General features: G+C 36.0%; 1 protein-coding gene and 1 pseudogene across 5 annotated transcripts in view, besides 2 other annotated features; both read left to right on the top strand.

Annotated features, from left to right (window-relative positions):
• Positions 1-21974, top strand: part of ZNF678 (zinc finger protein 678) — a 116114-nt gene that overhangs the window by 79651 nt on the left and 14489 nt on the right. For 2 of the 5 annotated variants that reach the window (NM_001367910.1, NM_001367909.1), the window contains 3 exons: positions 3338-3464; positions 7750-7870; positions 11130-19255. In NM_001367910.1, the coding sequence (NP_001354839.1) occupies positions 7786-7870; positions 11130-12622 (1578 nt within the window). In that variant the 5' untranslated portion in view covers positions 3338-3464; positions 7750-7785 and the 3' untranslated portion in view covers positions 12623-19255. Of the gene's footprint in view, positions 1-3337; positions 3465-7749; positions 7871-11129; positions 19256-21974 lie in introns of those variants that run through there. The other 3 variants (NM_178549.4, NM_001367911.1, NR_102302.2) reach the window with 2 other exon arrangements.
• Positions 11148-11348: a silencer, noted in NCBI's record as "peak745 fragment used in MPRA reporter construct". NCBI's record gives its function as "represses an SCP1 promoter by STARR-seq MPRAs in K562 erythroleukemia cells {active_cell/tissue: K562}" and the evidence as "EXISTENCE:reporter gene assay evidence [ECO:0000049][PMID:32103011]".
• Positions 11848-12048: a silencer, noted in NCBI's record as "peak746 fragment used in MPRA reporter construct". NCBI's record gives its function as "represses an SCP1 promoter by STARR-seq MPRAs in K562 erythroleukemia cells {active_cell/tissue: K562}" and the evidence as "EXISTENCE:reporter gene assay evidence [ECO:0000049][PMID:32103011]".
• VN1R15P (vomeronasal 1 receptor 15 pseudogene) lies at positions 15961-16524 on the top strand (annotated as a pseudogene).

Here is a 21974-nt window from a genome sequence, read left to right on the forward strand (position 1 = left end):
AGTACAGCAATGGTGGTGGCAGTAAATGCTTTTACCTTCTTAGGAATAAAATATTTAGCTTCTAATATATTAGTGCCAGAAAATTCTAAAGGTTTATATTATATTTATTATTAGGTTACAGAATAGAGAATTGTCTTAATTGAAATCACACAAACTGTGAAAGTCAGGTTTCTCATGGGCAGCCTTAGGAAAGACGTAACTGAAAATAAGCCAGTGGTATAAAGATGTGAAGCCCAAGGTCCCAGCCCTGCCCAGATTCACCCTCTTCGAAACCTTGTCTAAATATGTTTCCACCCTGGCATTTCCCCTCACGCAACTGATTAGGGGAGATCAGAGGTTTGAGTAGCTGCTCTTGCTGCCTCCCCAAAGCTGGTACCCACAATTTTCCCAAATCCAAACAGATAAATGGGAGCCGAAGACTATATTTTGGTGCCTTAATTTTTATTTTTTAATTAAAATCTGTGTTTCTAAAAACATTTTGCTCAGTAACCTGTTCTCTATTTCCTCAGATTCAGTAGTTGCTCTCCAAGTTATAAAACAGTAAATATAAATATATAACAATAAAAAGTTCCTCTGACCTATATGCCACACTTATTTCTGTGTCTCTTCCATCTATATTTAGCTTTTATTTTATATATTTTCTTTTCTTTTCTTTTCTTTTTTTTTTTTTTTTTTGAGATGGAGTCTCGCTCTGTCACCCAGGCTGGAGTGCAGTGGCATGATCTCGGCTCACTGCAATCCCCGCCCTCCGGGTTCAAGTGATTCTCCTGCGTCAGCCTCCCGAGTGGCTGGGATTATAGGCTGCCACCATGACGCCCAGCTAATTTTTTGTATTTTTAGTAGAGGCGGGGTTTCGCCATGTTGGCCAAGTTGGTCTCGAACTCTGGACCTTAGGTGATCCGCCCGCCTCAGCCTCCCAAAGTACTGGGATTACAGGCGTGAGCCACCACGCCTGGCCTATACATTTTATTTTTAAAATCAGTGATAGAGAAATGGAAAAAGAAATAGAAAGGATATGCCCTGTATTTACATCCTGGCAATTATGAGACACTTCGCACCTACCTCTCGGGGTTTTATGAAGATTAACTCACATAATGTGAGGTTCCCTGTGTAATGCTTTGTAGTGTACTTCCGAGCACATAGTACATGCTCCATAAACATGGCATTAATGTTTGTGCACAAGTTGTTTCCCAAATGGAGATTTGCCCAGACATTGTGGTCCTCTTTAAACTTTAAAGGGCTAGCAGACAATGCCATGTTTCAGAATTGTGATTGGTGGTCTTCACTTTGGATCATAAATATTTGTATTGGGCTAAGAGTATTGTGTAAAGGGACTCTGTTTGTTGTGCCTGTTTTTTTCTAGCTAAGTGCTACTCATGATGGGCCTAGGAGGATCAACATTAACACGAACAGGGACTTCTTACAGAAGCCAGTTAATAGACCTCTTCCAAACCTACAGAATCACATTACTTAAATTGGGGCTCAGAATAGCAAATGATATATGCACATTGAAGTTCCAGAAGCAATGCTTAGCTAAGTGGCTCTCAGCCCAAGCTTCCAATTAGGATCACATGGCCAGTTTAAAGAAATACTCCCACTTCTACCCTCCCCACAGGTTCTGTCTGTTGGTCTGGGTAAGAACATCGGTGTTGTTTTAGTTTAGTACCCCATGTGATCCTAAGGTAAGGTCAGGGTCAAGCATGAGGGCCCTTAGATACATTTGTGAGAGTTGAGTTCAGCCTTTGTTCCAGAGGAAGGTCACAGGGCCTGCTCTCTTTTGGTTTGGTGTGGTCAAGTCAGTGCAGCCAGTATTTTTATTGTCGTAGCCAAAATTGCTGGCTTCCATGGCAGAGAAGGGCACTTGATAGCAGGAAAATGAAAACTCACATTCTGACCTTTACGTAGGAGCTCATTGTTCCTGTCCTGTATGATGAAGAAACAGGAGAGTAGCTTTTTCTGCATTTCAAGGTCCTTCTGCCTGTGTGTATGGTCATAGCAGGTGAAGGAGTTGTGCTGACATCTCTAAAGGCATATTCTCAAGATGTGTGATTTGTCCAGATAATCTCATCTGAACAGAAATCAGAAAAAGAGGAAGAAATGGCTGGTTCTCGGGTAAATGAGTACTAGGTCAAGGGCTGGGTCAGCTGTTTCTCCAGAAATGTCATGTGTTTAAAACTTGCAGACTTTTATTTATATATTTGTAATGTTTCTGCCTAATAAATTTATTTCAAGTACTTTTAAAATTTTTCTTCTTATGATAGTCAGGGGGCTCTGAAAAATATTTCTTTCCTATATATCAATGTTTTATATCCATTCAGGCTTTTTAAGTGCCATAAGCAATCTTTACTATAAATTTTGACCTGCAAAATGAATGTTTCTTTTGTATCTGTTGAACATAGGCAGGTGTGGATGCCCAAGATTCCCATTGGAGATGGATTTGGGTCCTTGGATTAGTTAAAGGAAAGTTGATGGAGCTTCGCATGAAACTGATGTTTCTTTATGATTAGATTCAGATTTTGCCTTCTTGACCTATGCTATCATAGCAATGATGTTGTAACCTCCTCCTGTGCATTTTTACACGTGATACCAGTTTTTTTCTGTTACAGTTGATGTTAATTTTATTCACTAGGTTAAGGTGCTCTCTGACAGATTTCTGCACTATAAAGCAAATTAGTTTTCTCTGTATTATTAAGTACATTGGGGAGATTTAATAACTGATGGGCATAAACCATCACATTTAATTTGGAAGTTCTCCTTCTTAAATTATTTGGCCTATATTTTGCTTTGGAAAATGAAGGCTCTTGTTTAATGGTCAAATGAACTGAGATAAAAGCCCTGCCACTTAATGTTTGGCAGAATATTCTTCTTGGTTCAGAAGCATTGGCATCACAGGTGAACTTGTTCAAAATTCAAAAAGTCAGGTTTCAGCCCAGACCTTCTGAATCAAAATCTACATTTTAAACAGATTTCCAATTTCTTGTTGTATGCGTTAAAATCTGAGAGGCACTTCAGATGATTTTTCCATCTGAGAAATTTATCCAGCTTATCCTGTGTAATGTAAATATAGCTGTCCAATATGTAATGCATGTATTGGCGCCCTTAGTTTTATACTACAACACTTATAAAAATATAGCATCTACACTGGTTTTGTAAATCTTATGCCATCCTCTTTCCTTAGAGTTACAGAATGCATTCGAGAATCTTTGTGTTTTAAACAATGTCTTACTGGACAGTTTCTGCCAGAACAAGTTCACTTTACTCTCTTCAGTTGGAGTCAAATTAAGAACTCTGCCCATGGCACATTTTGTAAATACGTGTGTATTTTTCCCCCCCCCAGGGACTACTGGCATTCAGTGATGTGGTCATAGAATTCTCTCCAGAGGAGTGGGCATGCCTGGACCCTGCCCAGCGAAATTTGTATAGGGATGTGATGTTCGAGAACTACAGAAACCTGGTCTCCCTGGGTGAGGATAACTTCAATACACAATTTATGTATTTCATACTACGGATTCCATATTTTTCACTCCTGAAATGTTACCTGAGAGTTTGTCATTTGCATGAATGAGTTTTTGATCTCTGCTTCTAAGGAAAACTTGGGAATTTGTTGGTGTAGAAAATAAAATCTTCAAAATGTTTCATCTTGACATAAATTTTAAGGTGGTCTAAATTCTTCACTCTAGATGACTGGTAATTCCAGAACTTTAGTGGCATAAGATATTGTTGCCCACACCTCAAAATCTAATTACAGTACCAAGTTTTGATTCAGTAGTATTGGGTAGTGGAGCTGAGAACCTATATGTTTTTGGGAGGCCGAGGTGGGCAGATCACCTGAAGTCAGGAGTTCGAGACCAGCCTGGCTAACATGGTGAAACCCCATTTCTACTAAAAATACAAAAAAAAATTAGATGGGCGTGGTGGCATGTGCCTGTAATCCCAGCTACTTGGGAGGCTGAGGCAGGAGAATCACTTGAACCTGAGAGGCAGAGGTTGCAGTGAGCTGAGATCATGCCATTGCACTCCAGCTTGGGCAACAAAAGCAAAACTCCGTCTCAACAAACAAACAAAAAGAACCTATACATTTAAAATCCTTTCTAAATATTGTATAGTTAATGTCAGAAAATAGTATTTTTGGATTAATTTTCTAGAACCTTCTAAAAATTTTTTTTCCTACTGAGCACCATACCAGGTTGGTAACTGGAGCATGCCAGCAAGAGTCATGTTATTTTTTCTAATGAAACAGGTCTTGCTGTGTCTAATCCAGACCTGATCACCTTTCCAGAGCAAAGAAAACAGCCTGGAAGTTTAAAGAGACAGGTGATAGTAGCCAAATTTCAAGGCAGGTAGGAGTAAATAAAGCAGATGACACAGGTTAGAGGCCCAAATGTCAAGGAGAAAGCCAGAAATGAAAATGTGGTTTGGGCAGCTCTGCTTCAGAAAAGCCTGGTTTTGTTTGTCTTCCCCTCACAGGAGCATCTTCTGCCCCATGCTCTTAAGTTCTCTAAGGATTCCACTACCCATGAAGTGATTTTCCTTTGAGGCAAAGTCCTCTTCATGGTTTATAAGGCACTATATAATCTGACTGCTTTTCCATTGCTTTGTGGAACATAGGAATATCTACATATTTTTGAGGAACTCTATTTTACACAATTTAATTCTCTTTTTGCATCTTGTCTGAAATTTGCAAGAGTAGTGGTATATTGGCATTTGGTTCAGAAATCCCAGGAACACCACAAACATGTTGTATTTTCAGCTTTATGATTTTCTATCCTATGGAGGTTTCAAATGTGATTTTACAGAAGCTCATACTCAGTGATTTTATCAGAACACTAAATATAAGAAAATCTAAACTTATTTTACTTCAAAATTTTATTTTCTAAGTAAAAACTGAGATTGGTAATTTAAACTCTATGCCCACATTGTTACAATATCAACAGTAATATAATTTAATATATCTACTCCCTACATTTAAAAAAAATACTATTTTATTAGGGAGCTTGGAAGATTGCTGAGCGTATATTAAACTCCCACCTTTTACCTTATTTTTAAATAACTGTATTTTAAATTTGTTTTTATTTACTATAAAGCTTACTGGGGCATACACACATACGCATGCATGCATATATATTTATTTGTGTGTGTAACAACTCTTTTACAAATAAAAATTATGTATGTCCAACATAAAAATTTGATGTGTACACATTGTACTATAATTAACACACTCAAATTGATTTGGAGTGAGAATTCCTAATGTCTACTGCCTTAGCAAATTTTAAGCATACAAGACATTATTATTAACTGTATTCATAAAATTACACATTCGATCTTTTAAATTTATTCATCTTAAAACCAAACAGCAATTCCAGCACTTTGGGAGGCCAAGGTGCGCAGATCACTTGTGGTTAGGAGTTCGATACCAGCCTGGCCAACATAATGAAACCCCATCTGTACTAAAAAAAACAAAAATTAGCTGGGCATGGTGGCAGGTGCCTGTAATCCCAGCTACTCAGGAAGCAGAGGCGGGAGAATTTGCTTGAATCTGGGAAGTGGAGGCTGCAGCAAGCAGCCACTGCACTCCAGATCCTGCCATTGCACTCCATCCTGGGTGACAGAGCGAGACTCCATCCCAAAAAAAAACAAAAAAACTGAAAAACACCTTCCCAATTTATTAACTTCTAGGTCCTGCCAACTCCCTCTGTACTCTCTGCTTCTGTGAGTTTCACCATTTTGGATTCTTTGTATAAGTGAGATCATACAGTATCTGCCTTTTGGTGTCTGGTTTATTTTACTTAGCATAATGTCTTTCCAGTCCATCCATGTTGTTTAAATAGCAGAATTACATTATTTTTATGACCGAATAATATTTTATTGTGTATGTAAACCATATTTATCCATTTACTGTCTAAAAACATTTAGGTTATTGTCATATCTTGGCAATTGTGAATGATACTGTAATAAATATGAGGATGCAGCTATTTCTTTGAGATACTGATTTCATTTCCTTTGGTTATATACACAGAACTGGGATTGCTGAATTTTATGATACTTGTATCTTTTTCTAAGAGCCTTCATACTAATTTTTATAACGACTTCACCAATTTACAACTTTTAAAGTATACAGTACAGGATTTCTGTTTCTTCACATTGTGTGCTGTGTTGTGTTTGAGATGGAGTTTTGCTCTTGTTGCCCAAGCTGGAGTGCAATAGCATGATCTCAGCTCACTATGACCTCCACCTCCCAGGTTCAAGCAATTCTCCTGCCTCAGCCTCCCAGGTAGCCAAGATTACAGGCATGCACCACCACACTCAGCTAATTTTGTATTTTTAGAAGAGACGAGGTTTCACCATGTTGGCCAGGCTGGTCTCAAACTCCTGACCTCAGGTGATCTGCCCACCTCAGCCTCCCAAAGTGCTGGGATTATAGACATGAGCCACTGCGCTTAGCCGGTTTCTTCACATTATTGTCAAACTGTTACCTCACTTTTTAATGTATATGTATTAGTCATCTTAAGTGTGAAGTGATATTTCATCATGGTTTTGATTTGTGATTGCCTGATGATTGGTGATAGTCAGCCCTCTGATATATCTGTTGGCATTTGTATGTCTTCATTGGAAAAATATCTATTGGGTCTTTTGCCTGTTTTTCAATTTTATTATTATTATCATTATTATTGTGTTCCTTTTGATTTCTGAGTTCCTCATATATTGTTGATATCTACCTTTTATTTGATATATGGATTGCAAATATTTTCTCCCATCCTTCAGGTTTTCTTATTTTATTGTTTTTCTTGCTGTGCAGATGCTTTTTAGTTTCATGCAGTCCAACTTGTTAATATTTGCTTTTGTTGCCTGTACTTTTGATGTCATATTCAAAAAATCATTACCACAACCATATCAAGTAGTTTTTAAAATATATTTTCTTCTAAGATTTTTAAGGATTTCTGCCTGACATTTAAGTCTTTATTTTGAGTTAATTTCTTGATGTCATGTAAGAAAAAATTGTCTAATTTCACTTGCATGTAGATATTCTTTTTGCCCAGCATCAATTACTGAAGCAACTATCTTTTGTGCATTGTGTATTCTTGACGCCCTTGTTAAAGATTCATTGAACTTATATGCATGGGTTTATTTCTGAGCTCTCTATTTTGTTCCCTTTTTTTGTATCTATTTTGTTCCATCCTACTCTTATTACCATAGTTTTCAAATAGAGCTTTAAATCAGAAAGTGTGATGCCCCCAGCTTTGTTCTTATTTCTCAACTATTCAATGTCTTGTAATGCTATATAAATTTTAAAATTTTATTCCATTATTTTAAAAATGGCCATTGGAATTTTGATAGGAAGTTTATTGAATCTATTGATTGCTTTGGATAATATGACACTTTACAATAATTAGTCTTCTAATTCATAAACATTGGGTATCTTTACATTTATTTGTTTTCTCTTGTTTCTTTTATCAATATTTTATTTCCCAATGTAAAGATTTTTCACTTGTTTAAGTTTTTGCTATGAAATTTATTTAGATGTTACCGTAAATGAGTTTTTTTTATTAAGTGGTTTGTAGTTAGTGTATTAGAACAAAACTGATATTTGTATAACCTTTTATATTCTGCCAATTTACTGAGATTTTTGATTTATTTGTTATGGCTTTCTACATATAAGATAATGTCATCAACAAACAGCAGTATTTTTACTTCTTTCTTTTCAATTTTTATGGCTTTTAAAAAATTTTCTTGCCTAATTGTTCTGTCTAGGACTTCCAGGACTATGTTAAAATAGAAGCATTGATAATGGGCACAATATCACTTTGCATTGGTGTCTGTGCATTTGAAGGAGCAAACACCTCTACCAGTTTTTATAAACTGGTTTATACAGGTAAAGATTTTATCCTATTGGGTCTCCAGGCTGATGAGATCTTTTCTGGGTTCATAGTAGAGAGGGGATATACCTGAGTCCTAAGGTTGTTGGCAGGGTCCACAATGGGGTCTGTCTTTGGTGGGCTTATTACCAGGGGCTTGTGTGCTTGTGAATTCTGTCTTATTCCTTGGCCAACTGAGTTGCCTTCAGCACTTTGATCTATAGGGCAGACACTTGGCCTAATACCAAGTGTTTGTATGTGTGTGGCTCTCACCCAGTACTTGTGAGGTTTTTACCAAGTCACAGGTCTCTAGGTTGGCAAGACTGTCCACAGAATGTAGCTTAAAGGTCTAGAACTGAGTTATTCACCTGCTTCAGAGACCACAGTAAATGTCAAGGTCTGCAGTTCTGCATCTATGGCCGTGAATGAGCATCTGACCCCAGCTCTCTGACTGGGTAGGACCTCTTCTTGACTATGGCTGGGAGGAGTTAATGACAGTTACAGTGTTACTTCAGAATTCTAAGTGGAATCATGTTAAATGGGCCATTTCCTCGTCTGTAGCCAAGACCAGCGTCCTCAAGTTTGCCACCTGAAGGAAGACTTGCTTTCTGAAAAAGGCTTTCCTTGGTCTTGTGCTTTTAGCAGGGTATTACAACCCCCTGCCTGAATCACAAAGCAATCATAAATGTACTTTTTGTGTGACAGGGTCTTGCTATGTTACCCAGGCTGGTCTCAAACACCTGGCCTGAAGTAATCCTTCTGCCTCACCCTCTCAAATAGCTGGAATTACAAATATGAGGTATGGTGCCCGGCTCTGTCACAAAGGCACTTATGTCCATAGATGACTGATAAATTTTTGTTGCTTTGGGAGATATACAAGAAGAGGACCTCCTGTTCCAACAACTTGCTGATTTTACTCTTCCTATATGGTTTCACTTTCCATTTAGTTTTCTCTTTGCATTTCAAATTTGTGTGGAATTTTTTAATAAACATATATATTTGGGAAACCTAGTGGGGAAGGTATGTTCTTAGTAAATCTTATATGTATTCATGAGTGCTTATAAATTATATATGTTCCCAATAAATGAACACTTTTATTATTACTTGATGCTCATATTTTCTCTTGTGACAATTTTGGCTTAAAGTATACTTTGTGAAATATAACAGTTGTTGACATATAATGTACTTTTCCCAGTATAATTGTTACCTTTCCAACTATCATTTGGTTACTATTTGCATGGAATCTTCTTTCTTCCTGCCGCTTTGTCTATTATGCCAGTCGTCTAAAGTTAGTGTCTTGGAGACAAGACATAGTTTGTGGTTTTTAAAATTTTTTCCAAATCTCTTTATTCAGTCTTTTGATTGGGATGTTTTGTTGATGAATATTTGAATAGCTGTCTAAAACATAATTACTTACTATTGTCATTTATTGTTTTATTGGATTCTTGTAGCCATTGCTTCTACTCTCTTCTTCTGTGTGTGTTTATGTGTACTCTGTAGGTATTTTCTTTGTGGTTACCATGAGAATCACTAAAACCCCCAAAGTTACAACATATAATAAACTGGTAATAGCTTAACTTCAGTTGCATACAGAAATTTTTTTCATTATTTTTACCCTAAACTTCATATTATTGATGTCACTAATTATATATTTCATATTATAGAGACATCAACAGATGTTTATTGTTGTTCTTATGCATATTTCAAATTGTAGAGCATAAGTAAAAGTGTTTTCAGCACCATCATTCTAAAACTACAGAATTTTATTTTTGTATATGTGTACATCTTTCCCAGACAGTTATGTATTTGTATATAATTTTTTGTTTAATGACACATTTTATTTTCAATGGGCTGGAGTCCATTTTACATTTTCTGTAGGACAGTTGTACTGGTGATGTAGTTTTTCTGCATTTGGTTATCTTGGAAAATCTTCATCTTCTCTTAATTGTGAAGGACAGTTTTACTGTTAATAGTATTCTTGCTTTAAAGTTTTTGTTTTTTCTTTCAATACCCTGATTATATCACTCAACTCCATTTTGCCCTGCAAGGTTTCTGTTGATAAATTCACAGGTAATCCCATAGGAGAATGCTTATAAATGACACATCCCTTTTCTGTTGCTGCTTTCAACATCTTATTCCTCTCTGTGATTTCAAAATCTTGCTTATAATGTGTCTTGTTATGGTTCTTTTTGTGTTTATTCTTGATTTTTTTTTACATCTTATGTATAAACATTTCTGTTATTTTCTTGTATTCTTCAGTCCCACACTTTGTTTCTTGTTATATATTTTATTATTTTGTTGATACTCACATTTCCTGATTTTATTTAGTTGTCTTCATTCCCATTTCACTTATTGAGCATCATTCAGATGAGTCATTTGAATTTTTTAGATAATTTATACATATTTATTTTCTTAGAATTAATTTTTTATTTATTTTGTTTCCTTGATTGGACCATGTTACCCTGATAACTTTGCATATGTTGTAATCTTTGGTTCATATTTGGGCATTAATAAAATGCCACCTGTCACAGTCTTTATAAGTGGCTTTGTCCTGGAGGAGGCTAATAGCTATTTGCCAGGCTGGAGATTCTTATAGCCTCTCAAACCTCTTCTTATGATCTGTCTTCTCTGGAATTGTGTGTTTACTGTTCAGCTAAAGAGATTTGTTCATGTTTCTTTGTAAAAACCTGTAATCATGTGCTACACCTGATGTCTGTCTGTGGCACTGTGATCTCTCTGCTGCAGTAGCAATTATTTACCTTTTTCTTAGCAGACCAAAGCTGTCATTCAGAGCATACCACCATTTCTTTCAGCAGTCTTTGTTATGGGAAACAGAAACCAGTCTTTGGAAAGCCCCTAAAAGCCAGAAGTATGGGCACATGTGCAATGTATTGTTTTTTTGTTTTTGTTTTTTTGTTCTTTGCTTTGAGGGAGAAGCCAGGAGTTTGAAGTTTACTCTTAAAGGCACCATGCTGTATTGGGGTGGAAGAAAGGCTGTATGTATAAATGTAACAAACTTTACTTTCTATTCTACATGGATTTTGCAATTGTGCTCACCTAGGGTGTTGCAAACTCTTAACTAGATTTTATTTTCAAAAAGGCATTTTGGTCAGTATATTTTTGTTAAGTTTATATGTTCAAAAAGGAATCATGGCATGTGATATTTTATTATGCCATCTTGTTAATGTCTCTGATATAATTATATTTATTAGATTTGTAAAGTATATTTACTGGAGATTAGTAAGAAGAATAACTTTTTATTTTTATTTCTTTCAGCTATTTTATCTTATTCCATTCAAGACCTTTTGCCAGAGCAGGATATGAAAGATTTATGCCAAAAAGTGACACTGACAAGACATAGAAGCTGGGGCCTTGACAATTTGCACTTAGTGAAAGACTGGAGAACTGTGAATGAAGGTAAGGGGCAGAAAGAATATTGCAATAGACTTACTCAATGTTCATCAACTAAAAGCAAAATCTTTCAATGTATTGAATGTGGCAGAAATTTTAGCTGGAGGTCAATCCTTACTGAACATAAGAGAATTCATACTGGAGAGAAGCCATACAAATGTGAAGAATGTGGCAAAGTTTTCAATCGATGTTCAAACCTAACAAAACATAAAAGAATTCATACTGGAGAGAAACCCTACAAATGTGACGAATGTGGCAAAGTTTTTAATTGGTGGTCACAACTAACTAACCATAAGAAAATTCATACTGGAGAGAAACCCTACAAATGTGATGAATGTGACAAAGTTTTTAATTGGTGGTCACAACTAACTAGCCATAAGAAAATTCATAGTGGAGAGAAACCATACCCATGTGAAGAATGTGGCAAAGCCTTTACCCAGTTCTCAAACCTTACACAACATAAGAGAATTCATACTGGAGAGAAACCCTACAAATGCAAAGAATGTTGCAAAGCCTTTAACAAGTTCTCAAACCTTACTCAACATAAGAGAATTCATACTGGAGAGAAACCTTACAAGTGTGAAGAATGTGGCAACGTTTTTAATGAGTGCTCACACCTAACTAGACATAGGAGAATTCATACTGGAGAGAAACCCTACAAATGTGAAGAATGTGGCAAAGCCTTTACACAGTTTGCAAGCCTTACTCGTCATAAAAGAATTCATACTGGAGAAAAACCCTACCAATGTGAAGAATGTGGCAAAACTTTTAATCGGTGTTCACACCTAAGTAGCCATAAGAGAATTCATACTGGAGAGAAACCCTACAAATGTGAAGAATGTGGCAGAACCTTTACTCAATTCTCAAACCTCACTCAGCATAAAAGAATTCATACTGGAGAGAAACCCTACAAATGCAAAGAATGTGGCAAAGCGTTTAACAAGTTCTCAAGCCTTACTCAACATAGGAGAATTCATACTGGAGTGAAACCCTACAAATGTGAAGAATGTGGGAAAGTTTTTAAACAGTGCTCTCACCTAACTAGCCATAAGAGAATTCATACTGGAGAGAAACCCTACAAATGTAAAGAATGTGGCAAAGCTTTTTACCAATCCTCAATCCTTAGTAAGCATAAGAGAATTCATACTGAAGAGAAACCCTACAAATGTGAAGAATGTGGCAAAGCCTTTAACCAGTTCTCAAGCCTTACTCGTCATAAAAGAATTCATACTGGAGAGAAACGCTACAAATGTAAAGAATGTGGAAAAGGTTTTTACCAATCCTCAATCCATAGTAAGTATAAGAGAATTTATACTGGAGAGGAACCTGACAAATGTAAAAAATGTGGCAGTCTTTAAAAACTGCTTCATTATACATGGCTTCACTAATTTCATACTGAATAAAAGTGGTATGAGCATAATGACTGTTTAAGGATGTTTCACAAAATGTAAGCTTCAGAGTGCACAACACTATACTGAATGAAATTTATAAATATAAAAGATTACAATATCTTTATTTCAAAGATCTTCCTGTAAACAGAATCTGTACTAGAGGAAAAACCCTTAAACAATTATTCAGACTTTATTCAACTTTAGAGGATTTTACGGGGGCAAAAAACCTCCTACAAATGTGGAAAAACATTTTTTCAAGATATATGCCTTAGAAAACACCAGAGTTTATAGTATAGTAGAATATATTTTACAGATACAGTGAATACAAACAAATGTCCAAAATTAAGTCTAAATAAAACATTACATAATTTACTGTAGAAAGTACTAAGGCACTAACAGTTTCAGATGTTACTTTAAAGCAGTGTTGATTGTCGAGAATAATTCAAAGTTAAAATAGATAATTTAGTTGTATGTAAATTTAAATGAATCAAGAGATGATGTCTTTTTGAAGCACAGTTACATTCATGTTATACTTTTTTGCATTAAAAGTTTTTATATTTTTGATTATATATTTTAATATTGATATAATTCATATCTCAAATAACTTGATTTTTATTATATTTATTGTTTATGTTAAAGTATGTGGTCAGTTGTTGCTGCATAAGAGCTATGAGAAGTTCTTCTATATTAGATGACCATCATTTATATGCTTTTTCATGAATGATTAAGGGCACCGAAATGTAACATTTATAAGGAAAATCTAAGTAGAAATGCTTTTTGTTGATGTATAACAGTGTTTTAAGTAACACATTAGGTATTCAGAGAAGTATTTTGCATTATAGTAATAGGGAAACATTTTGAATTTCAGTAGTAAATTGTTTTATGAGTTGCACATTAAGATAATACAGTAGCTTTTGAAATGTTATTTTTAGAATGCAATTTCTTTTCATAAAACAAAATTATTTTTAATGTGTTAAGAATATTTTGCATTGAATGAAGTATATCTTGCCACAATAATTAACCTATACCACCTTACCCAAAGTTGTAGGTAACAGATAGTAACAATACACTACTGGGTAACAGTGAAAGGACACCTCTAGTAATCTCTTTTCCCAGTGGCTTTTAATTTCAAACAACTTGGGGAGGTTTTTTTTATGTGATATGCTTTGGTTTTTTTGTGCCTTACCTCATGTTGAAATGTGTTCCCCCATGTTGGAGGCGGGGTCTAGTGGAAGGTGTTTAGGTCATGGGTGTAGATTACTCATGAATGGATTGGTGTTCTTACCACTGCAGTTAGTGTGTTCTCTGTTAGTTCATGTGAAAGCTGGTTGTTAAAAACAAAAACAAACAAACAAAAAACTGATATTCCTCTTGCTTTGTCTTTTGCCATGATACCCCTTTGCCTTTTATTATGCATAAAAGCTTCCTGAGGCCTCATCAGAAGTTAAGCAGATGTTGATGTCATGCTTGTATAGCCAACAGAACTGAGGCTAATAAACCTCTTTTCTGTATTAATTTGCCAGTGTTAAGTATTCCCTTCTAGCAGCACAAAATGGACTAACATCCCATAGGTTATATTTTTATTTTTTTCTTTTGTAAATACTGGACAATGATACTCTTATATAATCTTCAGTATAACCATTATAATTGCCCACTATAAAGGAGTATAATGAAAGGCCATGTATTTTGAATCACGAATGACTATTTACAAAATGTCATACTACGTTTTTCTTTGAGCCTGTGACCCCTCTGGCCTGTAAAAACACATACATACATTTAGTTTTGATTAACATGGAGTTAATTTTATAAGTCTGTCACTCTAAACATAAGTGTTAGCTTTAAGAGAATTACAGAGCATGTAATTGTGTTTGAGTGTAGGTGTGTACTTTTTTGAGAAGAAAACAAAAATATTGGAACAAAATATAATTTAAAAAGTATTGGTAATTTACTAGCAAACTAGGAATCTCAAAGATTCTGAAAGTAAATATTTATTCTCTGCTTTGTATTGAATTTACTTCTGTAAAATCTTATGGCTGCTGGCTCAGAATCTTCTCATGCAAATCCTGTTTTTTTCTTGTCTGTTGATCATACTAAACCTAATGTATAGTTTTCTCATTCCAAAGTTCATGAAATTTTCTCTATATTCCTGAGAAATTCTAAGAATAACTTTCATAAAATGTATTGATGTTCACAAGATAATTTTAAGATGTAATTCTACAATATGTGTGTTACTACATTTTATTTAATTAGTATATTTTATTTTTGTATTTCAATTGGAGAACCCTATTTTGGCCAATTTTTACTTGGTTTTTGTTTCCATTTTAATATTTTACATAATTGAATTTTTTTCACTTTATTGAGCCATTTTGTTTAGATGTACACTGGGAAGGCTTCATAATTCACAAAGTTGTTTTGACATATAAATGAGGTGAACAAACACAGGAAAGTGCTAGGTTTCCTGGGGGTATAATAGATGCTCTATAATTAGCAGTAAATATTCTTGTTTAAGTCACTTTTTGGCTACAAGTAAGAGATTAGAAATATTCAGCATAAAGAGATGGCATTAACTCTGCATGTAAAGAAAACACATGTATACCCAGGCTGTACAACTGCCTCTGAAATTAAGAGGAATTGTGTTTATTTCATAGTTATCTCTGGTACTTCACTGTTATTTTATTTTCACCCCCAACTATGCGTCAATCATAGCCCTTTCCCTTCTTTGCTTATTATGGCTACAGATTTCTCACTGTTCTCTGCAGCCCATGTAATTTCATACAGTATTTTGTAGGTTGTGATAAGGAATTTGAAATTTTTAATATAGTGAAAAATTGGATTTAACTGGAGAGTTTGAGGACATTTTTAAGTTAGAAATGCACCATTTGAATCATTTAATTGGCATAATTGGGATGTACTCTACACAGTTTATAGGATTAAATTACTGAGTTAGTAATGTTTGTATGAAAGAAATGTTATTAGATTCTACCACAAAATATAGTAAACATGAAATCAGTTAGAATAGGTAAAGCATTAATAATGGTAGGCTATATATCATAATCACTATATAAAGAAACATCAGAATTTGGAAACCCCTTAAGCAAAAATATATCTTAGAAATCTTAAGGACACTTAATGGCAAGCAAAAAAGTTTAAATTTAGTTTTTTATAAATTACATATAGCACAATTTATGTGTACATGTAGAATCTTTTAGTTTTTAGTGTTTATGTAATATATTAGACAATAATAAACATTTACATTTATGTTTACATTTATATTTAATTTTTCAAATTTAATTTAAATTTCTAAATGCTTCTGTGGATTTAAATTTTGGAATAATCTTTTCTTCCCCATTGATACTGGAATCTTGGGAAGTTTCTTACTCATATCACAATATGTTTTATTTAAATGGATGCAGCTTACATTGCAGAGTTTATATAAATAATCACATAACAAGCCAATTCCTTAGTCATTTTCTGTATTAAAAAACTCAGAGATCTAGAGAGCTTTTGGATTGAAATATTTCCTTGGTGATTTTGGATGCAAACCTGATTTCTGTGTTCACACCATGGCCAGAGATGGGACTGTTAGCACCACCTGCTTCTTTAATGTCGTCCATATGATCAGCATCAGCACCAGAAACTCCAGGTGTCCCAAACTTAAAGTGAAAGCCATAGAGTCCTTTGGTGACTCCCATGTTCTGTGCTGGTTCTAGAACATGCTGGTAAATATCAGAGTTTCTATGCTTATGGCTGATAAGTAGACATTTTTAAAAATCATAAAAACTGTATTTTCTATATAGTTCAGCTAAGTTTATGAAAAAGATGCAGACTCAGTATTTGGAGCATTGCTATCGCTCCATGATGTGTTTAAAAATTATTTTTAAATTGACAAAATTTTATATCTACATATATATATATCTTGTAACACATGATGTTTGAAATGCTTAATTCTAGCCAATTAAAAATGCTTTACCTCAATAGTTATTTTTATTGTGAGAAAGGTCAACATGGTCTTGGCACTTAAAAAAAAAAAAACAATATATTCTCAATAACTGTATTCACTCTGCACTACAATAGGTCTCTTGAACTAATTCCTCCTAGCTAACAGGCATTGTTTATCATTTAACAGATAATTCTCTAAGCCCCCTTCTCCTAAAACTTCAGCATCTCTTAACCTTCTTTCTAGTCTCTACTTTTATGAGATCAACTTGTTTAGATTCCACGTGAGTGAGACCATGAGGTATTCATCTTTCTGTGTTCTGCTCCATTGGTCTATTTATCTGTTTTTAATGCCAGTATTGGACTGTTTCAGTTACTGTAGCTTTGCAGTATATTTGACTGTCAAGTAGTGCAGTGCTTCCAACCTTCAGAGTCTTTTACTGTACTATATGAATTTTTGTGTTTTTTTTGTGAAAAATTTTATTGATATTTTGATAGACATTATGTTAAATATATACATCATTTTGTGTAACATAGACTTTTTAGCAATATTAATTTGGCCAATTTATGAATAAGGGATAACTTTTCATTTATTTATGTTTAATTTTATACCTCAGTTTTCTTTAGCTTTTAATGTAGAGATCTTTAACATTTTTGAATAATTTTATTTGGAAGTAAACTTTCTGTAACTATTGCAGGTGTCAATTGTTTTCTTTATTTCTTTTTCAGATAGTTTGTTGTTAGTGTATAGAAATGCTACTGACCCTTATATCTTGATTTTGTATCCTGCAACTTTAGTGAATTTATTCTAAGTATTTTTAAAGTTTTCTATTTATAAGACTATGATATCTGCAAACAGGGACAATTATTTTCTTTCTTTCCAATTTGGTTGTCTTTGGTTTTGTTTTCTAATTTCTCTGGCCTGGAAATTCAGTAGCATGTTAAATAAGAGTGATGAAGTTAGATATATTTGCCTTACTATAACTCTTAGAAAAAAGGCTTACAACTTTTGAAGGTTTAGCATGATGTCAGATGTCCATTTGTCATATATGGCCTTTATTGGCTTGAGGTATGTATGTTCTATATGTAATTTGTTTTGAGATTTTGTCATAAAGTAATGTTGAATTTTCTAAAATTCTTTTTCTGCATTCACTTAAAAGTTATAATTGGTTCTGAGATCCTTCATCTTTCTCAGAATCTAGGAGGATGCATCTGTACCTAGAGGAGGACACAAAGGCATCATATGTTACATTCTCGTGACATATAATGTCTACTGCTTATAATGTCTACTGTGAGTTTCTGACTCCCCAAATGAAATTGAGGCCCAGAAACTTTCAACTGCTTTGTTCGTTGAATAATGCCAAGTGTCTGGAAATGTGACTATTCAGATTAAATGCTTAATGTGTGTGTGTTGACTAAATAAATCTCAACCAGAACCTTCTCAGATATTTTGTTGAACGTGGGACCTTTGTTTTTTTTTGTTGTTTTGTTTTGTTTTGTTTTTGTTGTTGTTGTTGTTGTTGTTTACCAGCAGGGGACCCCTGTTTTGTCTATGTCAAGAACAAAGACCAGGCAAAAGAAATGTCAAGCCGCATTTACAAATGCAAAAATGGACTTGTTTTTGATATGCTTTTCCCAACAATAAGGGACATGAGTCATTGGGGCATGTTACAGAGAGTTTCAGTAAAATTCAGAAAAAAATAATAAATATGAACAGCCACAGCATGCCCAGAAGCCTTTTTATGGAGCCAGGCATGGTTGACCTGCTTTCCATGTCTCAAAACATTAGTCCCTACAAGAACCCTATGAGGTTTATCTTCTTTTCACCCATTTTGAGAGAAGAAAAGTTCAGCTCAGAGAGCTGCAGGAACATTGGGGACATCTCCAAGTCACAGCCAATAGGTGGCAGTCATCAGTGTGTCTTGGAAGGGACAAACATTGAGCTTCTGAACAGCTACTCCAGAAACTATGGTGCTGTGGTGAAGTCCTGGTTAGGAGCCTAGGAAAATGGTGAAGGAAAAGATGGTCCCAGCCTGCAAAGCTGAAGTCAGGAACCCACCAGGATCTCCCTTCTCCCTAGCCTGGTGGTCCACATCATGCAGATTTACTCTAGATTCAGCTTAGACTCATTTTTATACTACTCGGGGGACAAGGAGGGAACTACAGTCAGTAACAGCAGCATGAGCCTCAGGTGCTTTGGGGATTGAAATTCAGACCAGGAAATTCCAATACATCAGTGCATGTGGAGGACATGAGTATTTAAGGAGAAGGTTCTAGGCTTCCGAAGTAAAATTGGATGTGGAGGTTGGGGATTGATTCAAACATTAATACTTTCAAGCGTTTCTATGGTATTTGTCAGCTGTGGAGCAACAGCACACATCTGTATTAATAGCCTGTGTTAAGAGATTACTGTGAATCCTGAAAAACATCCTCATTGTAGAGATGAGAAAACACAGGCTTTTGCACATCCAATGTCTCCTTAAAGCATGTGGTTCAGAATTGAGAACGTGCAGAGTGAGAGTGGTATGAATTTTCCTGTAAGCTACCTGAAGTTCTGTTTGCTGTCATGTGGAAGAAAAGAGCCTTGGAGAAGTTTTATTTTTTTCTGTTTGGAAAGAATACACAGAGCAAGATGATTTACAATAAACCTTTTGACCTAACGCACATACTTGTTTTCTTTAACATTAAGGGGAGTCTTAAGAAACAGCTACAGCAGTTTCTCACCTGGCAAAGACAAATGCTGGGAAACTGCAGGGCCAAGGATGTGAGCAGATGACGCAGGGAAGAGAAACCCCAAATAAGTATTAAATGACTGAAAGGTGACTCAAACTTATCTGTTAAACAACTGGAAATGCAAGGAATTACATGAGTTTCTTTGTCACACAGACACCAGATTGGCAAAAAATTAAGTCTTAACATTCAAGGGAGGCTGGATGTAGGGAACCAGCGATATTGAGAGACTGCTGGGGACACTATACTTGCCACAGCCCTTTTGGAAAGTAATCTGGCTATACCTATTAAAGTTTTACCCATGCATATTCTTTCACCAAGTTACCCCTTTCTGCAGGTGATTACTATATATTATGGGCTGAATTGCATTTTCTCCCAAAAATGTATGTGTTCCCATGTTTTAATAGTCAGTGCCTCAGAATGGGAATATATTTGGACATATGATTTTTATAGAGGTAATTAAGGTTAAGTGAGTTTATTGGAGTGAGCCCTAATCCAATATGACTGGGGTCTTTATAAGAAGTGATGGTAAAGATACAGAAACAGAAGATCCTGTGAACACAGCAATGGAAGACAGCAATCTACTAGTCAAGGAAAATGGCCTCAGAAAAAACACCCCAGCCATAGCTTGATGTCAGGTTCCTAGCCTCCAAAATTGTGAGAAAAAATATCTGTTATTAAAGCCTTGAGTTTGTGATGCTGTATTATGACAGCGTAGCAAACTGTTATAGTTTGTTAAGACACATACAATATGTTTCCTGCAGCACGACTGAAGTGGAAATAAAATGTCTTCATGCCAGTTTCCACCAGCATTGAAAGGCTGAACCACTGTGGGAAACAGCTTTGATTATGAAATAACATAAAGACGTGATATCAAGACATGTAAGGTCAGAGCTCCTGCCCTGATGGGACTATAGGCATGAGTTCTCTAAGATGACACATTGCAGAGAAATGCGTAGGATACCTTAACCTTTTTGGGTTAACCCCCGGCTCCCCTTTTGTAAACACTTCCCTCATAAAAATACTCGTGTGTAAGGTATGGAGAAGGAGCTGTCTGCTATAAGAGATACCTGGGTGCAGTTATTTAATAAAAACAGCAACATGCAAAGATACTCAGGGCCTAGTGTGAAGTAAAAGCAACAGAAAAATGTCTTCTCTGATATTTCTATAAGTATGTGAACAGGGATTTGCGCCTAACCATTTGCCATTTAGGACTCATGAAAGCCAGACTCCTTTGGGAAAGAATGGTGAGTTACCCTAGTGGAAAAGCCCTAGGACAGATCCCAGGGTGTCTACATATTCAGGTCTTTGTCCTCGGCCCACTTTTGTCTCCTCTGATCCCTGTCTGCAAAGACCTCTCTGTGCCCACTCCCACCCAAGCCCAGTGCTAGATATGCTCGGTGGCATGGTATACCTGCCCTTCATCCAAAGAGATGGAGTAGTTGGACCCATCAAACAGCTTTTTATTGATCTCCTGCATGGAGCTCTGCAAAGAGAGTGCCTTGCAGCTAGGCCAAGAGGCATCAGTGGTTGCCTGGTTGTCATCACGGGGACACTTCCATTAAAAGTTCTCCAAAGGTTGAGGCTTCATTGAGCCATGATTACACCACTGCACTTCAGCCTGTGAGACAAAAGTGAGACCCTATTTAAAAAAAATAATTATCCCTATATCAGGCATAAAAGAGAATTCCCATAGACCTTCAGCCAGGGAGGAAACCAGATCACGGTTTGAAGTCTTGGGGTTCACATCCAAGAAGACAAAATTGTTTTTCAACACTCACCTCCCTGTCCTGTCATGCCCTGTGGTATGAACCTGACCATCTCACTAAGGCTTCCGACACTTGATAATCTGCTTGTGTCCAGAAATAGCCTCCTCAGCACTTGCTTTCCCCAACACACGGTGTCAGAAAGACATGTGAGCCTTATTTAATAGGATCACAGATGAGGCCTTACCTGCATGGGCCTCTCCTGAGATGCCCTGTGTTAACTTTGCATGCCCCCTGCCAAATGGCCAGAGGCATCAGTGGTGAGAGTTGAGCCAATGCCTGCATTGTTGGAAAGCATTCTCACGTCAGGCCTTACTAAATCAAGAGCCTTGGAAAAGTCAGGATATAGCAAAAGAACATCTTGCTCTCTTGAGCATTTCCTACTGAGTAAGTTGACTACTGGGGCTGTCTCTAGAATGTAGGTGCCTGGTTACCAGGGTTCTAAATTATCTTGGGGTCTGTCACCGAGAAAGTAAGGTCACTTCAGGGTTCTATCCCCAGGACCCCTTCCTTCCATATGACCTACCCAAAGGCCCTGGTGGGCTACTGATTTCTCACGCTCCCCACCATGTCAGCTCCTTGCCTATACACAGTTATGCAAGCACAGCCTCTCTCAGTCCCCTACGGAGACTGGACGCAGTCAGGGCCCCAGGTTTGTGGTGACACAGCTGGATCAGAACTACTTTTTTCTAACCAGTTCTGTGACCCTAGAAGTCATTGTGTATTTTGGTGCCTACCCAGCCTCCTAACCTACCCAATGGGGATTATACCAGCATCTTCCTAGAAAATTCTTCGGGTACAAATGAGACAAAACTCATGGCATAGTGTCACATGAAGATAAAGCACAAATTTAGAGATGAAAGAATTACAAGAAGGGGTGGGAGGTA

This window comes from Homo sapiens, chromosome 1, assembly GCF_000001405.40.
Source record: "Homo sapiens chromosome 1, GRCh38.p14 Primary Assembly".
In the NCBI taxonomy this organism is placed as follows: Eukaryota; Metazoa; Chordata; class Mammalia; order Primates; family Hominidae; genus Homo; species Homo sapiens.